Source organism: Homo sapiens, chromosome 1 (genome assembly GCF_000001405.40).
Source record: "Homo sapiens chromosome 1, GRCh38.p14 Primary Assembly".
NCBI classification, from domain to species: Eukaryota; Metazoa; Chordata; class Mammalia; order Primates; family Hominidae; genus Homo; species Homo sapiens.
Genome location: NC_000001.11, coordinates 204,059,554 through 204,081,401, shown reverse-complemented (window position 1 = coordinate 204,081,401; position 21,848 = coordinate 204,059,554). Strand labels below are relative to the sequence as shown.

The 21,848-nt window shown below is 50.2% G+C and overlaps 1 protein-coding gene across 4 annotated transcripts in view, besides 7 other annotated features; it reads right to left on the bottom strand.

The window, feature by feature from the left end:
* The window catches only part of SOX13 (SRY-box transcription factor 13), a 54,629-nt gene extending 46,342 nt beyond the window's left edge, over positions 1 to 8,287 (bottom strand). For 2 of the 4 annotated variants that reach the window (NM_005686.3, XM_005245623.4), the window contains exon 1: positions 7,691 to 8,287. The gene's annotated coding sequence lies outside the window, so the exon portion shown is untranslated. Of the gene's footprint in view, positions 1 to 706; positions 1,829 to 7,690 lie in introns of those variants that run through there. The other 2 variants (XM_047435006.1, XM_047435007.1) reach the window with 1 other exon arrangement.
* Positions 667 to 961: an enhancer, noted in NCBI's record as "tiled region #2526; HepG2 Activating DNase matched - State 5:Enh, and K562 Activating non-DNase unmatched - State 10:DNaseD". NCBI's record gives its function as "activates a minimal TATA promoter and a strong SV40 promoter by Sharpr-MPRA in HepG2 and K562 cells {active_cell/tissue: HepG2 | K562}" and the evidence as "EXISTENCE:reporter gene assay evidence [ECO:0000049][PMID:27701403]".
* Positions 2,045 to 2,973: an enhancer, noted in NCBI's record as "NANOG-H3K27ac-H3K4me1 hESC enhancer chr1:204047557-204048485 (GRCh37/hg19 assembly coordinates)". NCBI's record gives its function as "activates a minimal SCP1, AML or CMV promoter by ChIP-STARR-seq in primed H9 embryonic stem cells {active_cell/tissue: H9 hESC(primed)}" and the evidence as "EXISTENCE:reporter gene assay evidence [ECO:0000049][PMID:30033119]".
* Positions 2,974 to 3,902: an enhancer, noted in NCBI's record as "H3K27ac hESC enhancer chr1:204046628-204047556 (GRCh37/hg19 assembly coordinates)". NCBI's record gives its function as "activates a minimal SCP1, AML or CMV promoter by ChIP-STARR-seq in naive and primed H9 embryonic stem cells {active_cell/tissue: H9 hESC(naive and primed)}" and the evidence as "EXISTENCE:reporter gene assay evidence [ECO:0000049][PMID:30033119]".
* Positions 5,530 to 6,221: an enhancer, noted in NCBI's record as "H3K27ac-H3K4me1 hESC enhancer chr1:204044309-204045000 (GRCh37/hg19 assembly coordinates)". NCBI's record gives its function as "activates a minimal SCP1, AML or CMV promoter by ChIP-STARR-seq in primed H9 embryonic stem cells {active_cell/tissue: H9 hESC(primed)}" and the evidence as "EXISTENCE:reporter gene assay evidence [ECO:0000049][PMID:30033119]".
* Positions 6,916 to 7,608: an enhancer, noted in NCBI's record as "H3K27ac hESC enhancer chr1:204042922-204043614 (GRCh37/hg19 assembly coordinates)". NCBI's record gives its function as "activates a minimal SCP1, AML or CMV promoter by ChIP-STARR-seq in primed H9 embryonic stem cells {active_cell/tissue: H9 hESC(primed)}" and the evidence as "EXISTENCE:reporter gene assay evidence [ECO:0000049][PMID:30033119]".
* Positions 12,234 to 12,735: an enhancer, noted in NCBI's record as "H3K27ac hESC enhancer chr1:204037795-204038296 (GRCh37/hg19 assembly coordinates)". NCBI's record gives its function as "activates a minimal SCP1, AML or CMV promoter by ChIP-STARR-seq in naive H9 embryonic stem cells {active_cell/tissue: H9 hESC(naive)}" and the evidence as "EXISTENCE:reporter gene assay evidence [ECO:0000049][PMID:30033119]".
* Positions 14,816 to 15,335: an enhancer, noted in NCBI's record as "H3K27ac-H3K4me1 hESC enhancer chr1:204035195-204035714 (GRCh37/hg19 assembly coordinates)". NCBI's record gives its function as "activates a minimal SCP1, AML or CMV promoter by ChIP-STARR-seq in primed H9 embryonic stem cells {active_cell/tissue: H9 hESC(primed)}" and the evidence as "EXISTENCE:reporter gene assay evidence [ECO:0000049][PMID:30033119]".

The window sequence follows — 21,848 nt, the reverse complement described above, 5'->3', positions numbered from 1 at the left end:
TCCTCTTGGTCTTCCGTGGAAACAAACACTGATGACATTTCTGTTTCACTATCTGGAAATATTAGATTTATTTTAAATCCTTTTCATCCTGATGACGAAAGTGATACACATTGTTGTATTACTCTTAGAGACTACAGAAATAAGAAAACGAATATGAGCCACGATCTTTAAAAAAAAGAAAGAAGTCATGGCTGGGAGTGGTGGCTCATGCCTGTAATCCCAGCACTTCGGGAGGCCAAAGCAGGCGGATCACCTGAGGTCGGGAGTTCGAGACCAGCCTAACCAACATGGAGAAATCCCGTCTCTACTAAAAATACAAAAAATTAGCCAGGCATGGTCGCGCATGCCTGTAATCCCAGCTACTCAGGAGGCTGAGGCAGGAGAATTGCTTGAACCTGGGAGGCGGATGTTGCGGTGAGCTGAGATGGCACCATTGCATACTCCAGCCTGGCCAACAAGAGTGAAACTCCATCTCAAAAAAAAAAAAAAAAAAAAGTCAACAAAGGATATTGACCACCCCCAGCTACAGAAGCTGGAGTTGGAGCTGCTCTGCCTGCTGCACTTTCTCTAACTCAGCACCTGCCCCGCATGGTGGACTTATATGAAAACCTTCAAATGGCTAGTCCTGGACCCCCACAGCACCTGCCTGCCTCTGCACCAACTCAGCACAGGACCTGAGTCTGCATCAGGGAAACACCAGCCATACCTGGGAGCAGGCCCTGCCTCCAGGTTCCTCACCCCCTTTGTTGGGGGATGGGAGGGGCGGGACCAAGGCCCTCTGGGAACTAGTTCTCACCCCATCTTGTTCCACAGGCTGCACATTCCATTCTGAGTCAAGCAGGGGGCGGGGACTGGGGGAGGTAAGGCAGAGGGGAGGAGAACAGTCGGGCCTCCTCTGGGGCGGATCCCCCAGGGAGCTCCAGGCTTGGCAGGCAGGGATTACGATCAAAACCACCAGAGCGGGAGGGGAGCCAGGAGGGCTCCTGCCCAGTCTGTGGCCCCTTCCCCTCTCTCCTCTCAAGCCAAAACACTGACACCCTAGCTTGGACATGTCCCCAGAAGACACAGGGGGACAATGTTGGGGGTAACACCAATACCCCTCCCCCTAACCCTGCCCCAATCCCTTGGGCAGTTTATAGGGCTTCATGCCAAGGCTATTTAAATGCTAAGGCCACCGCTGGGGGGAGAGTGGAGGGAACTGAATTCCAAATTTGATGACTTCCCAGTGTCAGACTTCCTGTGACCAAAAGGGCCTGGGTATCCAAAGCTATTTGGGAAGAAAGGTGGCAGCTGGAGATACTGTCCCCACTTCTTCCTTCTTTTCCTCTACTATGCCACACAAATTCCGCTCCCCCAAAAAACACCCCTGGCTGAAGCCCTCAACATGTGGGTACAGATCTCGGGACGTCTCCTAGCTGTGCACACCCTGTGCACACCCAGGACTCTGAGATACCAGGCCACACACACAGCACATCCTGCAGCTTTGGTTTGCCCATGGATGACCTTAGGAGGAGGCAGGGGAAACCTCAGCCACTTCCTCCTCACCTCACAGCCTCTAGGAGGTCTGACCACTGCTGCTGTTCCATCTGAGACCATGGAGGTCCTCCCTGACAGCACCACAATGTGCTCTTGCCAGGAGTGAGCAGGGAGGCAGGCCTCAGGGCATTCCTAAAGCAGGAAGGACCCCCTGCCACCCACTAAGGCGGGAGAGCCACCTGGAGTAGCAGGTGGTAGCTACAAGGTTCTATGCTGTGAGGCCAGGCTCGGTGGTTCTCACCTGTAATCCCAGCACTTTGGGAGGCTGAGGTGGGCGGATCACCTGAGGTCGGGGGTTCGAGACCAGCCATGGCCAACATGGTGAAACCCCAACTCTCCTAAAAATACAAAAATTAGCCGGGCGTGGTGGCGCATGCCTGTAATCCCAGCTACTCAGGAGGCTGAGGCAGGAGAATTGTTTGAATCCAGAAGGCGGAGGTTGCAGTGAGCCAAGATTGCACCACTGCACTCAGGCCTGGGCGACAGAGCAAGACTCTGTCTCAAAAAAAAAAAAAAAAAAAATGTTCTATGCTGTGGACCACACCACAGGCTGGACAGAAATCTTTTTTTTGTTTGTTTGTTTTTTGAGACGGAGTCTTGCTCCGTCACCCAGGCTGGAGTGCAGTGGCTCGATCTTGGCCCCGGGTTCATGCCATTCTCCTGCCTCAACCTCCCCAGCAGCTGGGACTACAGGCACACGCCTCCACGCCCGGCTAATTTTTTGTATTTCTAGTAGAGACAGGGTTTCACCGTCTTAGCCAGGATGGTCTCGATCTCCTGACCTCGTGATCCGCCCGCCTTGGCCTCCCAAACTGCTGGGATTACAGGCGTGAGCCACCGTGCCCGGCCCAGAAATCTTTTCCTAGGGGAGCTGCAAAGGCTTCATCACCATGGGGCTTTAAGCTGGGTCCATGGCATACAGCAAGTGCTCTTAGGAGGGAACTACCATATCTCTGCTCCTCAGAGAAAGTATTTGCATTTTTTAAAAAGCAGTCACTCTTTATCAGAGAAGCTGACAGAGGTCGGAGGAACCCTGCTGAGCTGGCCTATAGCAATCTCTGAATCAAGTCTTCCCAAGAACTAAGGAAGGGCCAGTCAAAAGGGGGGTAGTCACCGAGGCAAAGACCACCATCTAGAGCATGCCTTCCTGCTTCGGGGCAGGGAGCTGACAGGAGAGGGAAAGCAATCCTCCATGGGTCTAGTTCCCCATCTGGTAAAAGGCACTGTGATGGCCTCCCTGGCTGACACATCCGGGTTCCAGAAAGGGGACTAGCAAAGGGTGAGGACCGCAACGAGTTCAGGCAGGAGCGAGCCCTCTTAAGCAAACACTGGGCACAAAAATAACTCCCATTCAAAGCACGATTTACTGTGTGCCTGGCCGGCCCTCCCAGCACAGAGCCCTTTTCAAACACTCAGCTTCACCCCTGAATGTGGCTGGGGGAGGGGGCTCAGGAGCACAGCTGCATTTGAATTCCACTTTTTCCGGTGGTGTCAGCTTCCTGGAGACTTACCCAGGGGAGCTGCCCAATAAGGACCGATCTCAAAGCACCCCCAGAGAGGAGAAAATCTTTGTAGAATCCAGTGTCAGCCTCTCAAGGGCAAGGACACCTAGATCCCTTGGTGGAATAGGCCTAGCTCAACCGACACTTGTCTGGCAACAGAAAACCCCAGAGCCCTTACCATTCATGGAGCACTGCTGCCGCAGACATCATCAGCCATTAGCCTCCCAACAGTTCTAAGAGGAAGGTATTGGCCGGGGGCAGTGGCTCATGCCTGTAATCCCAGCACTTTGAGAGGCCGAGGAGGGCGGGATAATTTGAGGTCAGGAGTTCGAGACCAGCCAAACCAACACGGTGAAACGCCGTCTCTACTAAAAATACAAAAAAATTAGCCAGGTGTGGTGGCACACACCTGTAGTCCCAGTTACTCGGGAGGCTGAGGCAGGAGAATTGCTTGAACTCAGGAGGTGGAGGTTGCAGTGAGCCAAGATCACACCACTGCACTCCAGTCTGGGCGACAGAGTAAGAGTCTATCTCAAAACAAACAAACAAACAAGCAAACAAACAAACAAAAGTAATTCACGACCATTGTAGAAAAGTGAAAAAACAAATGGAAGATAAAGAAAGAAATTAAAACCATCCATACGTCCAGTATCCAGAGCTAACCTCTGTAAATATTCTGATGCATCCTCCCAGATTCTGTCCTTGCGTGTGTGCATGATAGCCATGTGTATACTTACAATTCTCTGTACAAGATTAAGATTGTACTCTGTAGTTTTATATCCTGATTTTTTCACTTCTTATGTAATTTTCCAGGTTATAAACTGTTCTTTGTTAACCACGTTTTTGGGAGGTTTTGGGGGATGGTTTGTATACCCACCTGGTACTAAATTCAGAAAGGACAAAAGGGTCTACAGCAAAAACAATCTTTTCTCCATCCCATCCCTCAGCCACCATTTCCCTCCCTTGGGGCAACTATGATTACCGTTTCTTGTGTCCCAAATAATCTTTTAAAATCATAGAGCAGATCATGTCACTCCCCCACTTAAAACTCTCTGATGGATGCATCGCCTGCAATAAAATCCAGGCTTCTAACCAGTATTACCAGGCTTTGGCTCTCCTCTGATTTCTCCAGTCTCTCCTCTCCAGCCACATAGCTGTTGCCCCTGTTCTGGCCTCAGGGGCTTTCATTTGCTATTCCCTCTACCTGCAATCCCCTGTCTCCAGGTCTTTATGCAGCTGGCTCCTCAGCCTTCAAGGCCTGGGCTGAGCTATCCTCTCCCCCAGGGTGGCCTTCACTGGCCTCCCAATCTAGGGCCACCACTGCCTGACCTACATATGTTTTCTATCACATCACCCTGTGGTATTTCTTTCCCATTGCATGTCATAATCTGATAGTCTTGGTTACTTAAAAGTATTTACTGTCTGTCTCCCCACAATAGAAAGAAGCCTCTTTGAAGGCAGGCACGCTGCCTGTCTTGTTCTCCCCTGTTATCCCACTGCGTAGCACAGGCCCTGGCACATAGCAGGTGGTCAACAATTTCTGTTGAAGGAATGAATGGGGTGACTGCAGTGCCAGTTGTCATAATGACTAAAAACTGCCAATTGCAGGATCTCCAACATGAAGAAGCAACCTTCTGGCCATCCTCCCCCATGCCTGGGGTGGAGGTTGGAGGGTCTGAGAAAGGAGGACAGGAGCCTGTTGTCCAAGGCAGTGTGGCTGGGCAGCAGCACCCTGTTCTTCCTCCTGGTTGCTCAGCTCGCCCCTTACCTGTGCTATGCATTTGCAGAGTCCTGAATCAGACAAGGAACTTGTGACAAACCCAAATTCCTAGAAAATCCTCCAACTGCAAGTGGAAAGTTGGAGGTGACACTTTTGCCCCTCACCCCAAATCCCACATCCAGTCTACCCAAGCAGCTGTGCTATTCCAGGTTCCCAAGTGAGCCCAGCAGCAGGAGACACAGACACTACCCAGGGAGCAGGGCTCCTCCTGGGACAGTCCCAGCCCATTCCACCTGACTCTTCCCCTGGGCCCCAGACACCTGACAGGCTCTTTGCTCTGGAAATTCACCCTGCCCCAGAGACACAAATGCACATCCAATCCTGATCCAGCAGCCCAGGCTGAGGACGCTCAAGGGACACCCTTTTGGAGACAATTCCTTCCTGGGACCTGATTTCCATGGAGAGAACACTGCAGTTGAGCCAAGATTGATTTTTAAGAATGAGGAAAGGAGGGAATGAAATGCTTTCACAAAAGTTGTGAAGGGAGGGAGAAAGGAAGGAAACAAGAAAAAGAAAAAAGACTCGAGAAGATGGCACTAGACAAGGAGTAAGAAGGATACGTTTGATCTGAGGGGCTGGAATCAGGCAAGGGTGGGAGAGAGTACAAGATCTCCTCCTCTCCAGAAGTGGGCAATGTTATAATTGATTAGTTGAGCACAATCACCAAGTGCTCTTCTGGGCTCTGTACAAGGTCAGTTAAGTAATAATGGCAATAATAGCTCATATTTACCTAGCACTTATTATGTGCCAGGCACTGTTCTCAGTTTCACTTTATTAAGTCTTTTAATCCTCAAGACAACCCCATGAAGCGTTCATATTAACCCTATTTTATGGCTGAGGAAACTGAGGCACAGAGGTTAAGTTAAATTGCCCAGAGTCACACCGCCAGTGGCATCCGGGATCTAACTCCAGCTCCAGGACTCTTAACCACTAGGCTATATTTGGCCCTTAATGATCCAGAGGTAGGTGGGTCCCTACCCTCCTGGAGATCATGCCTTCCAAACCAGTATCCCCCAAACGATCACGACATGCCAGTTTCAAAGTTGGGTGCATAACTCTGCCCATTTCGCATGCGGGGAAGTCCAAACCCACGCTGCTCATCGATGGGGAACTGGAATCCAAATGTGCTGAATCCCAGCATCTTGTGAAGCGCTTTCTAATGAAGCACAGTGGAAACAGGGGTCAGCCTCAGGCCCTGACTCGCAACTGCGCCGAGGCGCAGATTACGGAGTCAGGGAGCCGGGGAGCCAGGGAGCGGGGGAGAGGGAGAGCGGGAGGTAGCGGGCTGGCGCCGCGTCGGACGAGTCCGAAAGCACAACCGCGGTAGGCAGGGAGACAGCCCCACGCCCAGGGCAGAGAGCAGAGGGCAGAGAGCGGCCTGGCTCGACGGAGAGCGCCGCCCGGCTGGAACCGAGCTTGCCTCCCTGGACTCCAAAACGAGCAGAGTTATGCACCCATCTTTGAAACCGGCATGTCGTGATCCTTTGGGGGATACTGGTTTGGAAGGCATGAACTCCGGGAGGTAGAGACCCACCTACTTGGACTGCTGAGAGCCAAGTACAGCCTAGTGGTCAAGAGCCAGCAGCATCGTCTCTGGCCGTCTTTGGCCAGACCCCTTCACCAGCGCCAGCGCCAGCGCCAGCGCCGAGGCGTCCTGCCCGGAAATTCCCAGAGAGTCAAAGCAAACTTCCCAGGAAAACTCTTCGGCTTCCTCCAAGCCTCTGTCACCGAGGCGGCTGCCAAGAGCGCCAGCGGAGTCTTTGCAGCTGCCGCGGGCCCTCCAGGGCGGGAGCCGCCGCTCCAGCGCTCGGGGTCCTCCCGGAAAGGTCCAGGGCTGAAGTTCAAAATTCACTTCCCGCCCAGGCCCGGCTCACCGCCCCGCCCGGTACTGTCCGGCAACCCCCACGTCTCTTGTCCTCTCCAGCTCCAGTTAAGTCCTGGAGCGCCTCCAGCCTGAAGACCCATGCGGGCAGCTGAGCGAATCCCGCGGGCGATCCCTGCGCGCCTGGGGACGGGAAGCAGCCAGAGCCGGCGCACACACACAACCTTGTGTGTGCGTGTGTGTTTACGTACGGAACGCGCGGGGTGGGAAAACAATGGCGAGCCGCTGGGAACTGAACGACTACCCGCTCCGCATCTCCCTACCCCTAGGCGCGATCAGCGTTTGCAGCGGAATCGGGATGAAAAGGCTCACCTACGATATCCCAGGGCGGGAGGTGGGGGTAGCAAGAAGCAGCCTGCGGTGGGGGTGGGGGTGGGACAGGAGCAGCCGGAGCAGAAAACAAACAGGATGCCGCGCTGGTCTGGTCCGCTGGGGAACGACCCTGAAACCGTGGCAAGGGGAGCGCGTCTGTCCCCCAGCACCCCACGCAACCATGGTGGAGGAGCTCTGCGCCTCGTCGCAGGCACCTGAGCCCCACGCAGGACGCGCGCAGGTCGCTTCGGCTTCCCGCTGAGAAATCCTTAAACTAGGCGCATAGTCGGGCTGATGAGAAAGACCTAGTCCTCTGCGGTCGGCGAGGAGCGGGTTGGGGGTGCACCCTAAGCTCGACCCGCGTGGTGAACGCGCGCGCGCGCGCGCGTACACACACACACACACACACACACAAACACACACACAGCCACGCACTGCCTTAGAGGCTGCCATCCCTCTCCACAAGGACCCAAGTCGGCCAGGGAGGAGCCGCCACTGCCCAGCGTTGTTGGGGGTAGGTGAGGGTCCGTCTCTCCTCGAAAAACTTTGCACAGGGTGGAAACTCGCAGGGAAGAGAGCCGGTGGGTGCCCAGAAACGTAGGGGCGCAAGTGTCAAACTTCAGAGAGCTGGGGAAATGGGCGCGACGGCGCGATCATGGCGGGGAGGGGTGCACTTACTACTCAGCCAGGCGCCGGGCTCGGGGCTCGGGGCTCGCGGCTCCGCGCTCCTGCTCCTCCTCCGTGCGGTCCTCGCGGCTGGCAGCCTAGGCTTCCCGCTCACATGCCCCCGCGACGCGGCGGGCGGGCCGGGTTGGGGAGGCTGGGCTGGGAGGGGGCACGCCCCCCGCCGTCGGCCGGGGAGTCGCTGCGGACCCACGGCCACCCTGGGTCCGCGCCCCACGGGGCCCGCCGTCCCGGGCGGCGAGCTTGGTTCCGGCCGGGCGGCGCCCTCTCCGCCGAGCCAGGCCGCTCTCTGCCCTCTGCCCTCTGCCCTGGGCTTGCGGCCGTCTCCCTGCCTTCCGCGGTCCTGCTCTGCGACTCGTCGGACGCGCAGCCGGCCCGCCCTCCCTGCTCTTCGGCTCTCACGCTCTCCGGCTCCAACCTCAGCGCCTCGGCTCGATTCCGAGTCAGGGCCTACGAGGCTGACCGCTGAGCTCTGGGCTCAGACCTGGGCTCGCCGGTTCTGGGCCCGGGTTCCAGGACCCGTGCTCACACAGTTCAGTTCCAAGCCGGGACTGGAGAAGGGCGCTCGCGGCTCGCTGCTGCGAGGCGACTGGACAGCCTAGAGGAGAAAGAGGGAGGGAGACCGAGAGCGCGCAGGGGGAGGAGGGAGGGAGGGTGGGGACTTGCAGAAGAAGGGAGGGACAGAGAGTTTCCTCCTCCTCCCTGCAGCCGGGTCCATCCAGGCATCAACAGCTGGAAACCTCTGTTGGAAAGGGGAAAGCTAAGGTTTACGGGCGGCGGGGAAGGGTGGGGGTGGAGTGAGGGGGTGTAGAGAAGAGAAGAAAGAAGGATTCTGCCCGCTCCCACTGCCCAGGTATGAGGGTCGCTACAGAGAATCTTCACTCCTTAAAGCAAGACCTAAGAAGTTATTGGTCCAGCTCCAAGCCTCCCAACCCCTCCAAACAGATAGCCTGGACTCGGGTTTTTTAAAAACCCCATTTCTCCGGACTTCCCTTAAGAACCTGATCTCTGCCGGGCGCGGTGGCTCACGCCTGTAATCCCAGCACTTTGGGAGGCCGACGGGGGCGGATCACGAGGTCAGGAGATGGAGACAATCCTGGCTAACACGGTGAAACCCCGTCTCTACTAAAAATACAAAAAATTAGCCGGGCGTGGTGGCGCGCCTGTAACCCCCTACTCGGGAGGCTGAGGCAGGAGAATCGCTTGAACCCGGGAGTGGGAGGTTGCAGTGGGCCGAGATCGCGCCATTGCACTCACTCCTGCCTGGGCGACAGGGCGAGACTCCGTCTCAAAAAAAACAAAACCTGATCTCACCTGTAGCTAGACGGATTCCTGATATCTCCAACCACTCCCTAATCCTGTCATTTGCAGCCTCTCAAATAAATCTTATTTTCTCCTGTCCCATTATATGGGAGGGTGGGGGAGAATGGAGAGTTGGTTTCCTTTCATTCAACGTATTTATCAAATGTCTACATATGACCGGGCGCAGTGGCTCACGCCTGTAATCCCAGCACTTTGGGAGGCCAAGGCAGCAGATCACCTGAGGTTGGGAGTTCGAGACCAGCCTGGCCAACATGGTGAAAACCCCTCTCTACTAAAAATACAAAAATTAGCCGGGTGTGGTGGTGCATGCCTGTAATTCCAACTACTCAAGAGGCTGAGGCAGAAGAATTGCTTGAACCCAGGAGGCAGAGGTTGCAGTGAGTGGAGATCGCACCACTGCACTCTAGCCTGGGTGACAGAGTAAGACTCTGTCTCAAAAAAAAAAAAAAAAAAAAGTCTACCTATGCCTGGCTTACCGGGGTGCTGGGGACACGAAGACAAATGAGACGGTGTCCTGCCCTTTCTGGATTCTGATTTTGTAAAGGAATGGGTGAATATACCATTGCAGTGAAGTGGAGAGGGCTAAGATAGGGCAGGCAAATGGGCACAGGGCCACCAAAGACACTGGGATATGGGGACTGGAACTTCTTGGGGGAGGTGGCATCTGAAATGGGTCTTGGAAGGACCTGTGGGTGTAGGGCAGATTAAAGGAGTGACAATCATGGACCTACTAATAAGTCTATGCCCACAGTGTGGGTGGCCAGCATGTGTTCAAAGGTGATGGTCAGCAAGGCTCTGAAGGCCTTCTAAGGGCTCATCCTTGCCCACTGCTTTGCCTGGCTAACTCCTTTTATTCATCTTTTAGGTCTCAGCCTAGACATCAACTTTCCCTGAAGCCTTTCTTGATGGCCATATCTGGGCCAGGTGCCCCATCTGTGGGCTCTGGAAAAACCCCATTTGTAAATAATATGGTAACCATTCATTTGTCTGTCTCCGCCCTGGACTGTAAGCTCCACAAGGGCAGGGATGTATCTCTCCAGTGTGCCTAGCCAGAGATTGGGAAAGAGCAGGCCCTTCATAAATACTTATTGATCAATACTTGTTGATGGAAGGAAATGGGGAGCCACTGAAGGATTCTAAGCAAGGTCTCAGATGGCATCAATCTAGCTGGAGGTAGGAAGGAGGCCAGTGACCAGACAATGGCAGTGGCCAGGGTAAAAATGATGCAGGCCTGAGCTAAGCTGGGAGTAGGGGGAATGGAAAGGAGAAAACAGGTGGGTGTAAGAGAGTGGGAGAAGCCAACATTAAAGGCTTGATGTTTGGATAACTATGGATGAAGCCATCCTAGAAATCATGAAAGGGTTACCCAAATTGCCGGGCGCGGTGGCTCGCGCCTGTAATCCCAGCACTTTGGGAGTCTGAGGCAGGAGGATCACCTGAGGTCGGGAGTTTGGGACCAGCCTGACCAACATGGAGAAACCCCATCTCTACTAAAAATACAAAATTAGCCGGGCGTGGTGGCTCATGCCTGTAATCCCAGCTAATCAGGAGGCTGAGGCAGGAGAATTGCTTGAACCCCGGGAGGCGGAGGTTGTGGTGAGCTGAGATCATGCCACTGCACTCCAGCCTGGGCAACAAGAGGGAAACTCTGTCTAAAAAAAAAAAAAAAAAAAAGGGTACCCAAGTGCCACCAAGACTTTCCTCCTCCCAGACAACATGCCTGTGTTTTCCATATATCTGGTTGTTTTTCTCTGGCCCCTGATCATCTTCAGGGGGGCAACTTGATTGTGGGTACCTCCCTGCAGCTGTCCTTAGCAACAGCAGATTAAGAGAGGAAGAGCAAAGATCAGCCCTTCCACTCACTGCCACCAAATTAAGATATAAAGTGTCTCCCTACTGGGTCTTAGGCACAATACTGTTTTCCTATATGGTATCTATTTGTACCTTATCCCAGTTCTGTGATGTTGGTGTCATTATCCCCATTTTATCTTATTTTTTAATTTAATTTAATTCCATCTCTTTGCAAGTCCCTGAGTACCTGGAATCCCATTTTAGAGATAAGAAAAATGAAGCTCCAATTAGTGAGACAGGAAGCTATCTGACTGAAGATTCTAGATTTTCTCTACTACTGCACCATTTCCCAGGAACAACTATCAAATTTACATGATGTAACCCAGTCAGCCACTCCTTGAAACACTCACTTCATGAGTCCACACTTTCTTGAGTCCTCCCACCTCACTGGCTGCTCTTTCCCAGCCACCCTTTTTTATGTTCCCTCCTCCATCCTGGTCTCCAGGTGGGCATTCCCTGTGGGCTCTCTCCTACACCCTATTTTCCTCCTACCACATCTCCCTAGGTAAAATTTTGTCCTTTTCCATAGCTTTAAGTACCAACTATGTGGTGATGATTCTCCCAATTATTTAATATCCAAGACTATTATCCAACCACACACTTGATGTTTCTACCCCAGGGCCTCACAGACATTGTAACCGTAATGGGTCCATTGCCTGAGGGCCTGCAAGTCAATACACCAACACCGAGGGTTGCAACAGAAAAAGAATTTTAAATGCAAGGCTGAACAAGGAGAGGAGAGAAAACCTCAAATCTGCTTCTCCGAAGAGTTGGGGGCTAGGGATTTTAAGGGGTTTGGAGTGGGCCGAGGTGTGGGGATCACTGTGGATGTCCCGTGACGCAGAGTCACGGGACAGGGAGATGAAGAAACTGCATTCTCATGCTGATTACGCTCCTCTGTGAGGGTCTTCAAACTGGTGGCATCAGCCATTCTGCTGGAACTCAAGAGCTAAAAACATCTTAAGCAAATCTTAAACAAAAGCCTTATGATTCCAACGTCAGTGATCCTATCTATAGGAACAATGGGGATGCAAATCGATTCTTCAACAAAAGCCTTATGATTCTAACATCAGAAATCCTATCTATAGGAAAAATGGGGATGCAAATGGTCAGTATCTGGTTCTATGGAACTTTTAGCAACAAGGAAGTGCGCCAAAGTGCAACCTAATTAATGCTTTTTCTTTCTTTCTTTCTTTTTTGAGACACGGTCTTGCTGTCACCCAGGCTGGAGTGCAGTGGTGAAGTCACGGCTCACTGCAGCCTCAACCTCCTGGGCTCAAGTGATCCTTCCACCTCAGCCTCCCAAGTAGCTGGGACTACATACACAGGCATGAGCCACCCTGCCTGGCTAATTGTTTTTCATTTTGTGTAGAGACAAGATCTTGCTATGTTGCCCAGGCTAATCTCAAACTCCTGGGCTCAAGTGATCCTCTCGCCTCGGCCTCCCAAAGTGCTGGGATTACAGGTGTGAGCCACCGCACTTGCCTATTAAGGTTAAATTATAACAGTATTTCCGCCCAGAACCTAGCATGTAATACTTGCTAACCCTGTGAGGATGGCTTCCACATCCTAACCCTAACATTGAACCTTTAACCATCATCCCCAACCCAGTACCATCTTCTTTCCCATCCAGTAAATGGTACTACCACCTACCTAATGGCTCAAGTCAAAAACCTAGCCATCATCTGTGATTGTTTCTCGCTCATCTAATCAATTTAGTGAGTCACTGGCCTATCTCCAAAAATATATCCCAATCCATCCATTCCTGTCTTTACCACCCCACCCTAGTCCAGGCCACAATTACCTACCACTCAGCCAGACTACAACGGCCTCACCTGCGGTGACATCATTTCACTGAGGCTGCCTACATCTGCATGACTTTAATATTTGTTCCAGAAATTTCTTCCCCAGGAAGATAAGACTGTAAACTGGTAAATAACTTCATTATTTCCTTCAGGAACTTCCTGAAAATCAATTTATCTGAACAATAGACTGCTCAAACAGCCCCCTTCTCGGGACAATAGTTTGCTTAACTGGGCAAACCAGTAGCTTATCAAACAATTGTTTATTCTTCAAGACCCTCCCTTCACCATGTCCTCCAATCCTAAACTGTTATAAATTTTGCCCAGTCCCAATCAGATCCCCATATTGAAAGATCTGCCTTGAACTAGACTTCAAACCCGATAAAAATCTTTACACCTGTTAAGTTCTTCCCCAAACCCTCCTCTTCCTAGAGTGGGCACCTTTTCATCCTCTTGTCTCAACAAAAATGTCTCTTCTCTCATCTTCCCCTTTCCTCCCATATAAAATCATCCTCTACCCCATCCCACCTTTATTCTGTTTCTCAGCCCTGTTTGCTTCTTTCATAGCACTTACCACAATTGCACTTGTTTTATCTGTTTTCTGTTTTCTTGTGTTTTTTTTCTTTTTTTGGAGACAGAGTCTCGCTCTGTCACTCTGGCTGGAATGCAGTGGTGCGATCTCTATTTACCACAACCTCCGCCTCCTGGGCTCAAGCAATTCTCCTGCCTTAGCCTCCCAAGTAGCTGGAATTACAGGCGCACGCCACTACCACCTGGCTAATTTTTTGTACTTTTAGTAAAGATGGAGTTTCACCATGTTGGCCAGGCTGGTCTTAAACTCCTGGCCTCAAATGATTCACCCACCTCGGCCTCCCAAAGTGCTGGGATTACAGGCGTGAGCCACCGTGCCTGGCCTCTTGTATTTTTCCTGCTTCCCTTTAGACTATAGGCTCTGTGAGGGGAGACCTTGTCTGCTCTAGTCTCCATTTAATTTCCAGAATACCTGCTGAAGGAAGGACTCTGCTTGGCTTCAGGGAGTGGGGGCTCCGAGGGCTCCTATCTGATTTGTGTGTGGCCATAGCCTGAAACACAGGTGGGGGTTGCGGTGCCCAGGTGTGCTAGGTTTCTGATTTTCCCTTTAACCTACGAGGTTAGAGACAAGGTGTAAAATGCAAATGCCCTTGGGAGAGATAATAAAAGAATTAAATTCACAAAATGGTGTGAATTACTTTCCTCAAGCACCAGAGTGAAAGCTCTGAGAGAAAAAGCAAAAGCCCACGGGTTGAGAACAGGAAGAAGCATACTGGAATCCTGGTCTCACTGCTCTGCTTCAAAAGGGTCCTGCCTGTCCCCTCACCCACCCCCACCTAACCCAGGGCCATTTTCCCTGCAAAGCTTAGAAAGAGGGTGCTTGTAGGTCGGATCAGATCAGGGTAGGCCCAGCCTCATGAGGTTTGTCTGGTACCAACTCTTCATCCTTCTGTCTGAGCAAGGGCTTTTCCAGATGGCTATAGCTAGAGATGTGAGTCAGAGGTGCCCCACTCAGGGGGTCTTGCACCATGGCACAGCCCGTGGGGCTTCTTCTCAGAGGCAAGCACTGCCTTCAGGCTGACCTGAGGTGGGCTTCTACTCAGTTCTACTTGGGCTTTTCTAGGGAGTCACACTCAGGTATGGAGCCAATCAAGAAAGTAACAGATTAAGTCACAGCTGTTTCATTTGCCTATCAGAATCTGACAGTACAAGATCTGGAAGAAGCCGGGTGCGGTGGCTCATGCCTGTAATCCCAGCACTTTGGGAGGCCGAGGCGGGCGGATCATGAGGTCAGGAGATCGAGACCATCCTGGCTAATACGATGAAATCCCGTCTCTACTAAAAATACAAAAAATTAGCCAGGCGTGGTGACGGGCACCTGTAGTCCCAGCTATTCCAGAGGCTGAGGCAGGAGAATGGCGTGAACCTGGGAGGTGGAGGTTGCAGTGAGCCGAGATCGCACCACTGCACTCCAGCCTGGGCGACAGAGCGAGACTGCATCTCAAAAAAAAAAAAAAAAGATCTGGAAGGAATTGGCCGTCCAGAACCATCTCCTCCAGCTCCCTCTTTGTGCAATAGAGAAGACTGAGGCACAAGAAGGAGGGATAGCTCACTCAAGCCTGCACGTTACACACAGGACTCGCTTAAGCTATCAGCGGCTCTGTGAAGACCGGGACAGTTCCTTTCACAGATGAGGAAAAAGATACTCAGAAAGGGGAGGGAAATTTCCCAAGACCACACAGTGAAGGGGCACCATCAGACATCTGAACCCAGGCTTTCCGGCCCTCTGATCCATGCTTTGTCCAGCATACCATGCTGCCTTGCTGCTTGTGGGGTTTTCTGGTCCTTGGAATCTGAAACATATAATAAACAGCAGCTGAGTATTATTCCGTACCCTAGATTCTAGCCTAGACCCTAGAAGTTGAAGCAGCTCTCTGCTTTCCGTATGCCAGTCAGCCTCCTATTTCCTGAGTGGCGGACTTTCTCCCAGGGACAGAGGACCCAACCCATACCACCACTCCTTAACACGCAGGCACAGAATCTCCCAGGGACAGAGGACCCAACCCATACCACCACTCCTTAACACGCAGGCACAGAAACACGCAGGGACCCCACTCAGTGTGTGGGTTCAGCTAATGTTGGCGACTTGAGTCCTTTTTACACACATGCACACTTCCAGAGCTTTTCCACTCCATCCTTCACGTGTTCAGCTGCCACAGGGAATGAGCTTGGGAAGAGGGCTGGAGTAGTCATTCTCACCTCCAGGGCTAGTGCACACTCTCTGTGAATGTAATTATCTGGAGTCCTAAGTGTAGGGCCAACAATCAGGCCGCATGTTTTCCTGATCTACTTGGAATGGGGGCAGTGCAAAGACAGGGCCACTTCCCCCTGAGAGGACGCCCACACGCATGCGAATACACACAATGGTGGTTTTTTTCATTTTCTTCTGTCTCTTCCCACAGAGAGGGGCCACTGGGCCACACCAGCAAAGGCAGGTGAGGGAGGGAGGAAAAGAGATGCAGAAGGTGCTTCCCTCCCAGAAGCCTGGGCCATTTAGAAAATCCTTAGGCCGCCTCCTCAGTCCTCTTCTCCTCCCCACCTACCACCTGGCTTACAGTGCCCCACACCCATCCCCAAACTTTTTTTAAATCCCTGTTTCCTGCCTTGAGGAGACCTAGATCCCCATCCTGGGAGGGACTGGCAACAATTAACAAAGGCACCATGGAGTAAAGACAATTAACAATCCAGAAAAGAGGCGAAAGAGAGGCTTTGTTCTGGTCTCCATGACAACAGCGGGGGGTGGGGGGGAGATGAGGGAGGAGGAGGAAGAGAAGGGGCATCCAGAGAGGCTGATACTTTCACTTTCCTTTCATCCCTCCCCTCTCCGCCCCTTTGGGTTTCTGCCAGGGATCCCAAAGGGAACAGGGCTGGGACAGGCCAAGTCTGAAGGCTGGAGATTAGAGGTGGGCAACTCCAAGATTCAAGCCTTAGCTGAGGGCTCACTGGGGAGTTAAGACTAGACAGGAAGCCCTGGGGACTGAATCAAAGGCATTTGAGTGCTTCCTCCTCTTTTTCCAAAGGGCTTACCTTATGCTAAGAACTGTACCCAAAGATCAAGTCTCTGCCCTGGATGGACACCTCACGGTCAAAAAGCTTGGTGGCTTCTGCATCCCTTCTCATCAGGACGTGGTGGAAAGTGAAGAAGTGAAGGCAGGACTGTCTACATAGCTTGCAGGGTCCAGTACAAAATGAAATGTTCCAACATTAGTCCAGGCGCGGTGGCTCACACCTGTAATCTCAGCACTTTGGGAGGCTGAGACGGGTGGATCGCTTGAGGCCAGGAGTTCAAGACTAGCTGGCCAACATGGTGAAACCCCATCTCTACTAAAAATACAAAAATTAGCCTGGCATGGTGGCATACACCTGTAGTCCCAGCAACTTGGGAGGCTGAGGCAGGAGAATTGCTTGAACCCAAGAGGTGGAGATCGTGCCACTGCACTCCAGCCTGGGTGACAGAGACCCATGAGACCCTGAAAGAAACAGAGAAAGAGAAAGAAAGAAAGAGAGAGAGAGAGAGGAAGGAAGGAAGGAGAGAGAAAGAGAAAGAAAGAAAGAGAGAGAGAGAGAGGAAGGAAGGAAGGAGAAGAAAGAAAGAAAGAGAAAGAGAAAGGAAGAAAGAGAAAGAAAGAAAGAGAAAAAGAAAGAAAGAAAAAGAAAGAGAAAGAGAGAAAGGAAGAAAGAGAGAAAGAAAGAGAAAAAGAAAAAGAAAGAAAAGAAAGAAAGAAAAAAGAAAAGAAAGGAGGGGGAGGGAGGGAGGGATGGAAGGAAAGAAGGAAAGAAGGAAGAAAAAAGAAAGAAATGTTCCAAAATTGTTAAGAATTTCAAGATGGCAAAAGCAGAGCATCAAGTGTAGGGCCCTCTGAGCACAGTGCACAGGTTGCACATCCATAAAGCCAGCCCTGTCAGGAGGAGCTTGGGGCTGGGCTCTGTCTGCCTGCTCAATGTATGCGTGCGTGTGTGTGTGTGTGTGTGTGTGTGTGTGAGAGAGAGAGAGAGAGAGAGAGAAAGAGAGAGACAGACCTCTCCACTGCACACATTTCTGAGCATGTGCTATGGTCTAGATGATGGTGTCCCCTCAAATTCATATGTTGAAACTTAATCCCCACTGGGATCCTATTAAGATGTGGGGCCTTGGAGGGGTCATGAAGGCAGACTCTTCATGAATGAGATTAGTGCCTTTATGAAAGAGGCTTGAGGAGCCTGTTTGCCCCTTCAGTCATGTGGAGGACACAGATGGTGCCATCTATGAAGACTGGGCCATCCTAAGACCCTGAGTCTGCCAGCATCTTGATCTCGGACTTTCTGGCTTCTAGAATTTTGAGCAATAAATGTCTGTTGTTTATAAATTACCTAGTCTAAGGTATTTTGTTAACAGCCTGAATGGATTAAGACATTCACCTTTGAGCAAGAGAGAAACCAAGTACAGAAAACCCATTCCCAAGAGTGGGGTGTTCTGGTAACCAGTGATGACCAGCTATCCCAGGCTTCCCTGTTTGGAAAAGGCAGAAGACAGTGAGATGTACAAAGCTCCAAAATCCTGCTGAAGAACATGATGTCTATCCTAGGGGATTTAGAAAACACCTTTCATCTCACAAGGTGTTGCTCCCGGTTGCAGAAGTTTCTTGGCACGAGCAGCCAAGCACATCAGGCCTGGCCTCATGGGTGGGCCTCTTCATTAGCCATAGGAGAACGGACCTTCAGAACATTTCTTGCTCTCAGCAACCCTAACATCATAAGAGAAAATGGGTTAGGGACTGTAGAGACCTGTCCTTCTAGGGCTCAGCCTCACTGACTTGTGGGTCCAAGTGAAATAAAAAATATTACTCAGAAAAAAAGTCAGTTGTGTCGGAGGCCCCAAATTAGGCAAGAAAGAGGTCAAAGATTCTGCTTGCTGCCTTCACCTCTCTGCCCAAAGGGATCCTCCCAGGGACTTCTTGCAGGGTTGCTGTTATGGGCTGAATTCTGTCCTCCTCCACTCCCCGAATTCACATGTTCTAACTCCCAGCACTTTAGAATGTGACCATATTTGGAGACAGGATCTTTACAGAGGTAATTAAATTAAAATCATGGTGGTGGGCGCCTGTAGTCCCATCTACTTGGGAAGCTGAGTCAGGAGAATGGCGTGAACCCGGGAGGCGGAGCTTGCAGTGAGCTGAGATCAAGCCACTGCACTCCAGCCTGGGTGACAGAGCGAGACTCTGTCTCAAAAAAAATAAATAAAATAAAAAATTAAAAAATTAAAAAAAAATAAAAATAAATTAAAATCAGATCACGAGAGTGGGTCCGAATCCAATGTGACTGGTGTCCTTACAAGATGATATTTGGACGCAGAGACATACAAAGAGATGCTGATGGGAAGAGTCACAGGCAGAAGACAGTCATGTACAAGCTAAGCAGAGAGGCCTGGAACGGGTATTTCCCCCAGAAAGAACCAACCTGCTTACACCTTGACCATGGATTTCTACTGTCTAGAATGTGAGAAAATGAATTTCTGTTGTTTAAGCCACCGTGTCTGTAATAGTTTGTTAGGGGAACCCTAGCAAATTAATATATAGAGGCTTAGATGCTGGAAGGTCTGCATAGCCTTAGGTTGCCTGGACCAAAGAATGCATCTGAATGAGGGATATGTTTGTACTTATATTGCAGCATTATTTTAACTTGAAGCAAAATTGATCTATTACTCCCTTCCCCCATAGCTCAGTCTTTTAAATTTTTTATTTCTTTTGGTATTGGTTGAATACATTTTATTGTTTTAATCCCTTTAGTCTTTTTATTTTTCTGGTTTTAATGATTTTGCTTATCTCAGTCATTTTTAATCTCTGTTTTGTCTTCTAGCTACTTTATACTATTTTCTTTGATCTCATCTTATCTAGATTTATTGTTATTGTATTATCTTTTTATTCCGCATCTTTTATTTCTAACCTTTGCCTTGTCATGTCTTTGTTCTAGCTTTTAATTTCTTTTTAGCTTATTTGGTTTATTTTTAGTTCATATTATCACTTTATTGCCTGCCGCCCTCTTTTTTTAACTGTTTTTACCACCTTTTTTTTATTTCTTCTTAGTTTACTTTATCTTTTTATTGACTGTTGTATTATCTTCCATTTTTTTACTGTTTTCAATTCTCTCTGCTTATTAAACGCAGAGGCTGGAAACACAGCCCTCAGGGGAGAGCTTCAAGGCTAACCCAGGCCCTAAGTGGAGGAGGAGGCTGGCTGCCCTCTCTGCCTTCTGGAGTGGGCCCTTCCAACCACCCCTTCTAGATGCTCCATTTGCACCAAAGCTGGCCCCTCCTGTCTATAAGGATTAATCTGTGTAAGATAAGAGATCCTGGGGAAAAACTCCATCAGGAAGATAGTTATAGTGATAACCCATCTGAACTGCTGGAACAGCCTGGCTTTCTCACATCATATGCCATCAAATTGCTCTATGTGCATCTGAAATGTACCATCACTGGACATTAGACCAAACCTATAAAAAGAGCATATTACTTGTCAGGTTGGGTGTGGTAGGTACGAAATTTCACTTTGGGAAGAGCTCTCAACATATCTCTGTAGGTTTAATTTTAACAACAACAACAGGAACACAGTGGAAGGCCAGGCACGGTGGCTCATGCCTGTAATCCCAGCACTTTGGGAGGCCGAGGAGGGTGGATCACGAGGTCAAGAGATCAAGACCATCCTGGCCAACCTGGTGAAACCCCATCTCTACTAAAAATACAAAAATTAGCGGGTGTGGTGGTGCTGTAGTCCCAGCTACTCGGGAGACTGAGGCAGGAGAATCACTTGAACCCAGGAGGTGGAGGTTGCGGTGAGCCGAGATCATGCCACTGCACTCTAGCCTGGAGACAGAGCAAGATTCCATCTAAAAAGAAAAAAAAAAAAACTAAAACAAACAAACAAACAAAATACAGTGGACTGGATCCTTGCAGCACAAGTTTTTGGGAGGAGGCTCAGTGAAGTATTTTCTGGAATTCTTCTTACATCTAGCTGCCTCTCATTTATTCATTCACCTGATAAATACGTATTGGAACCCTCCTACATGCCAAAGCTCTGCTAGGCAATGAAGACAAAGTACTGACCAAAAAGTGTGAAGCTCCTTGCTATAATAAAGTTTATAGTCTATTAAAAGGATGTTTATCTATTACCAATCTTATTTGCCTTCCTTTAGGCAAGATTACAGGAGGTTCTTATGTCATAGATTGGTAATTGTCCTCAAGTATCTGTTTCTTCCTTCTAGAATAATATAAGTTTTAGCTAAGAAAATAATGATACGTTAAAAGGCTGCATATAGCCGGGTGAGGTGGCTCACACCTATAATCCCAGCACTTTGGGAGGCCAAGGCGAGTGGATGACCTGAAGTCGGGAGTTCGAGACCAGCCTGACCAACATGGAGAAATCCCATCTCTACTAAAAATACAAAATTAGCCAGCTGTGGTGGCGCATGCCTGTAATCCCAGCTACTTGGGAGGCTGAGGCAGGAGAACCCTTGAACCCGGGAGGAGAAGGTTGTGGTGAGCCAAGATCACGCCATTGCACTCCAGCCTGGGTAACAAGAGCGAAAAAAAAAAAAAAAAAGGTTGCATATCCCAGTCTCCCTTGCAGCTAAGTACAGCCATGTCCCTAGGTTCTGCCCTATAGAAACCTAAGCAGAGGGATATTTGCTTGCTGGTTTGGCCCTATAGGACCTAAACAGAGGGATGCATACTTCCCGGTTCTGCCCTATAGGACCTAAGCACAGGGATATATGCAACTTCCTGGTTATGGCCATTAAAGGAAAGGGTATATTCTGCCCATTCTCTCTTTCTCCCTTCTGCTGGCTGGAATGCAGGCATGGTGGCTGGAGCTATAGCTGGTATCCTAAGCCATGAGATGAGAAAAGGGCATTGAAAATGGGTGAGGGCCAGGCGCAGTGGCTCATGTCTGTAATCCCAGTAGTTTGGGAGGCCGAGGAGGGCGGTCACTTGAGGTCAGGAGTTCAAGACCAGTCTGGCCAACATGTCGAAATCCTGTCACTACTAAAAATACAAAAATTAGCTGGGTGTGATGGCATGCGCCTGTAGTCCCAGCTACTCAGGAGGCTGAGGCAGAAGAAATACATGAACCTGGGAGGTGGAGCTTGCAATGAGCCGAGATCGATGCCCCTACACCATTCCAGCCTGGGTGACAGAGCAAGACTCTGTCTCAAAAAAAAAAAAAAAAAAAAGAAAAAGAAAAAGAAAAGAAAGAAAGAAAAAAGAAAAGAAAAGAAAATGGGTGAGGAATCTAGGTTCCTGATACCATGGAGCCTCCAGAAAGCCCTGTAGTGCTTATTTTTGGACAATTACCTGAGAGACAAATAAACAGCTATCTTGTATAATCCACTGTGACATTGGCCTTTGTTACTGCACCTGAATCAGTTCTCTTTAACATATAGTTCTCCCTGAAAAAAATCTTATTTTATTTTGAGAGCCAAGGAGTACATGGCAATCCTTAAATCATATCCTTCTAGAAAATAATTAGATATATCCCTGCTGGGTTACTTCTGTAGGTAAGAGCCCTTCCTTGTCACCAGGGTGCATGAGGGTGGGTGATCTTCCACACTTCACA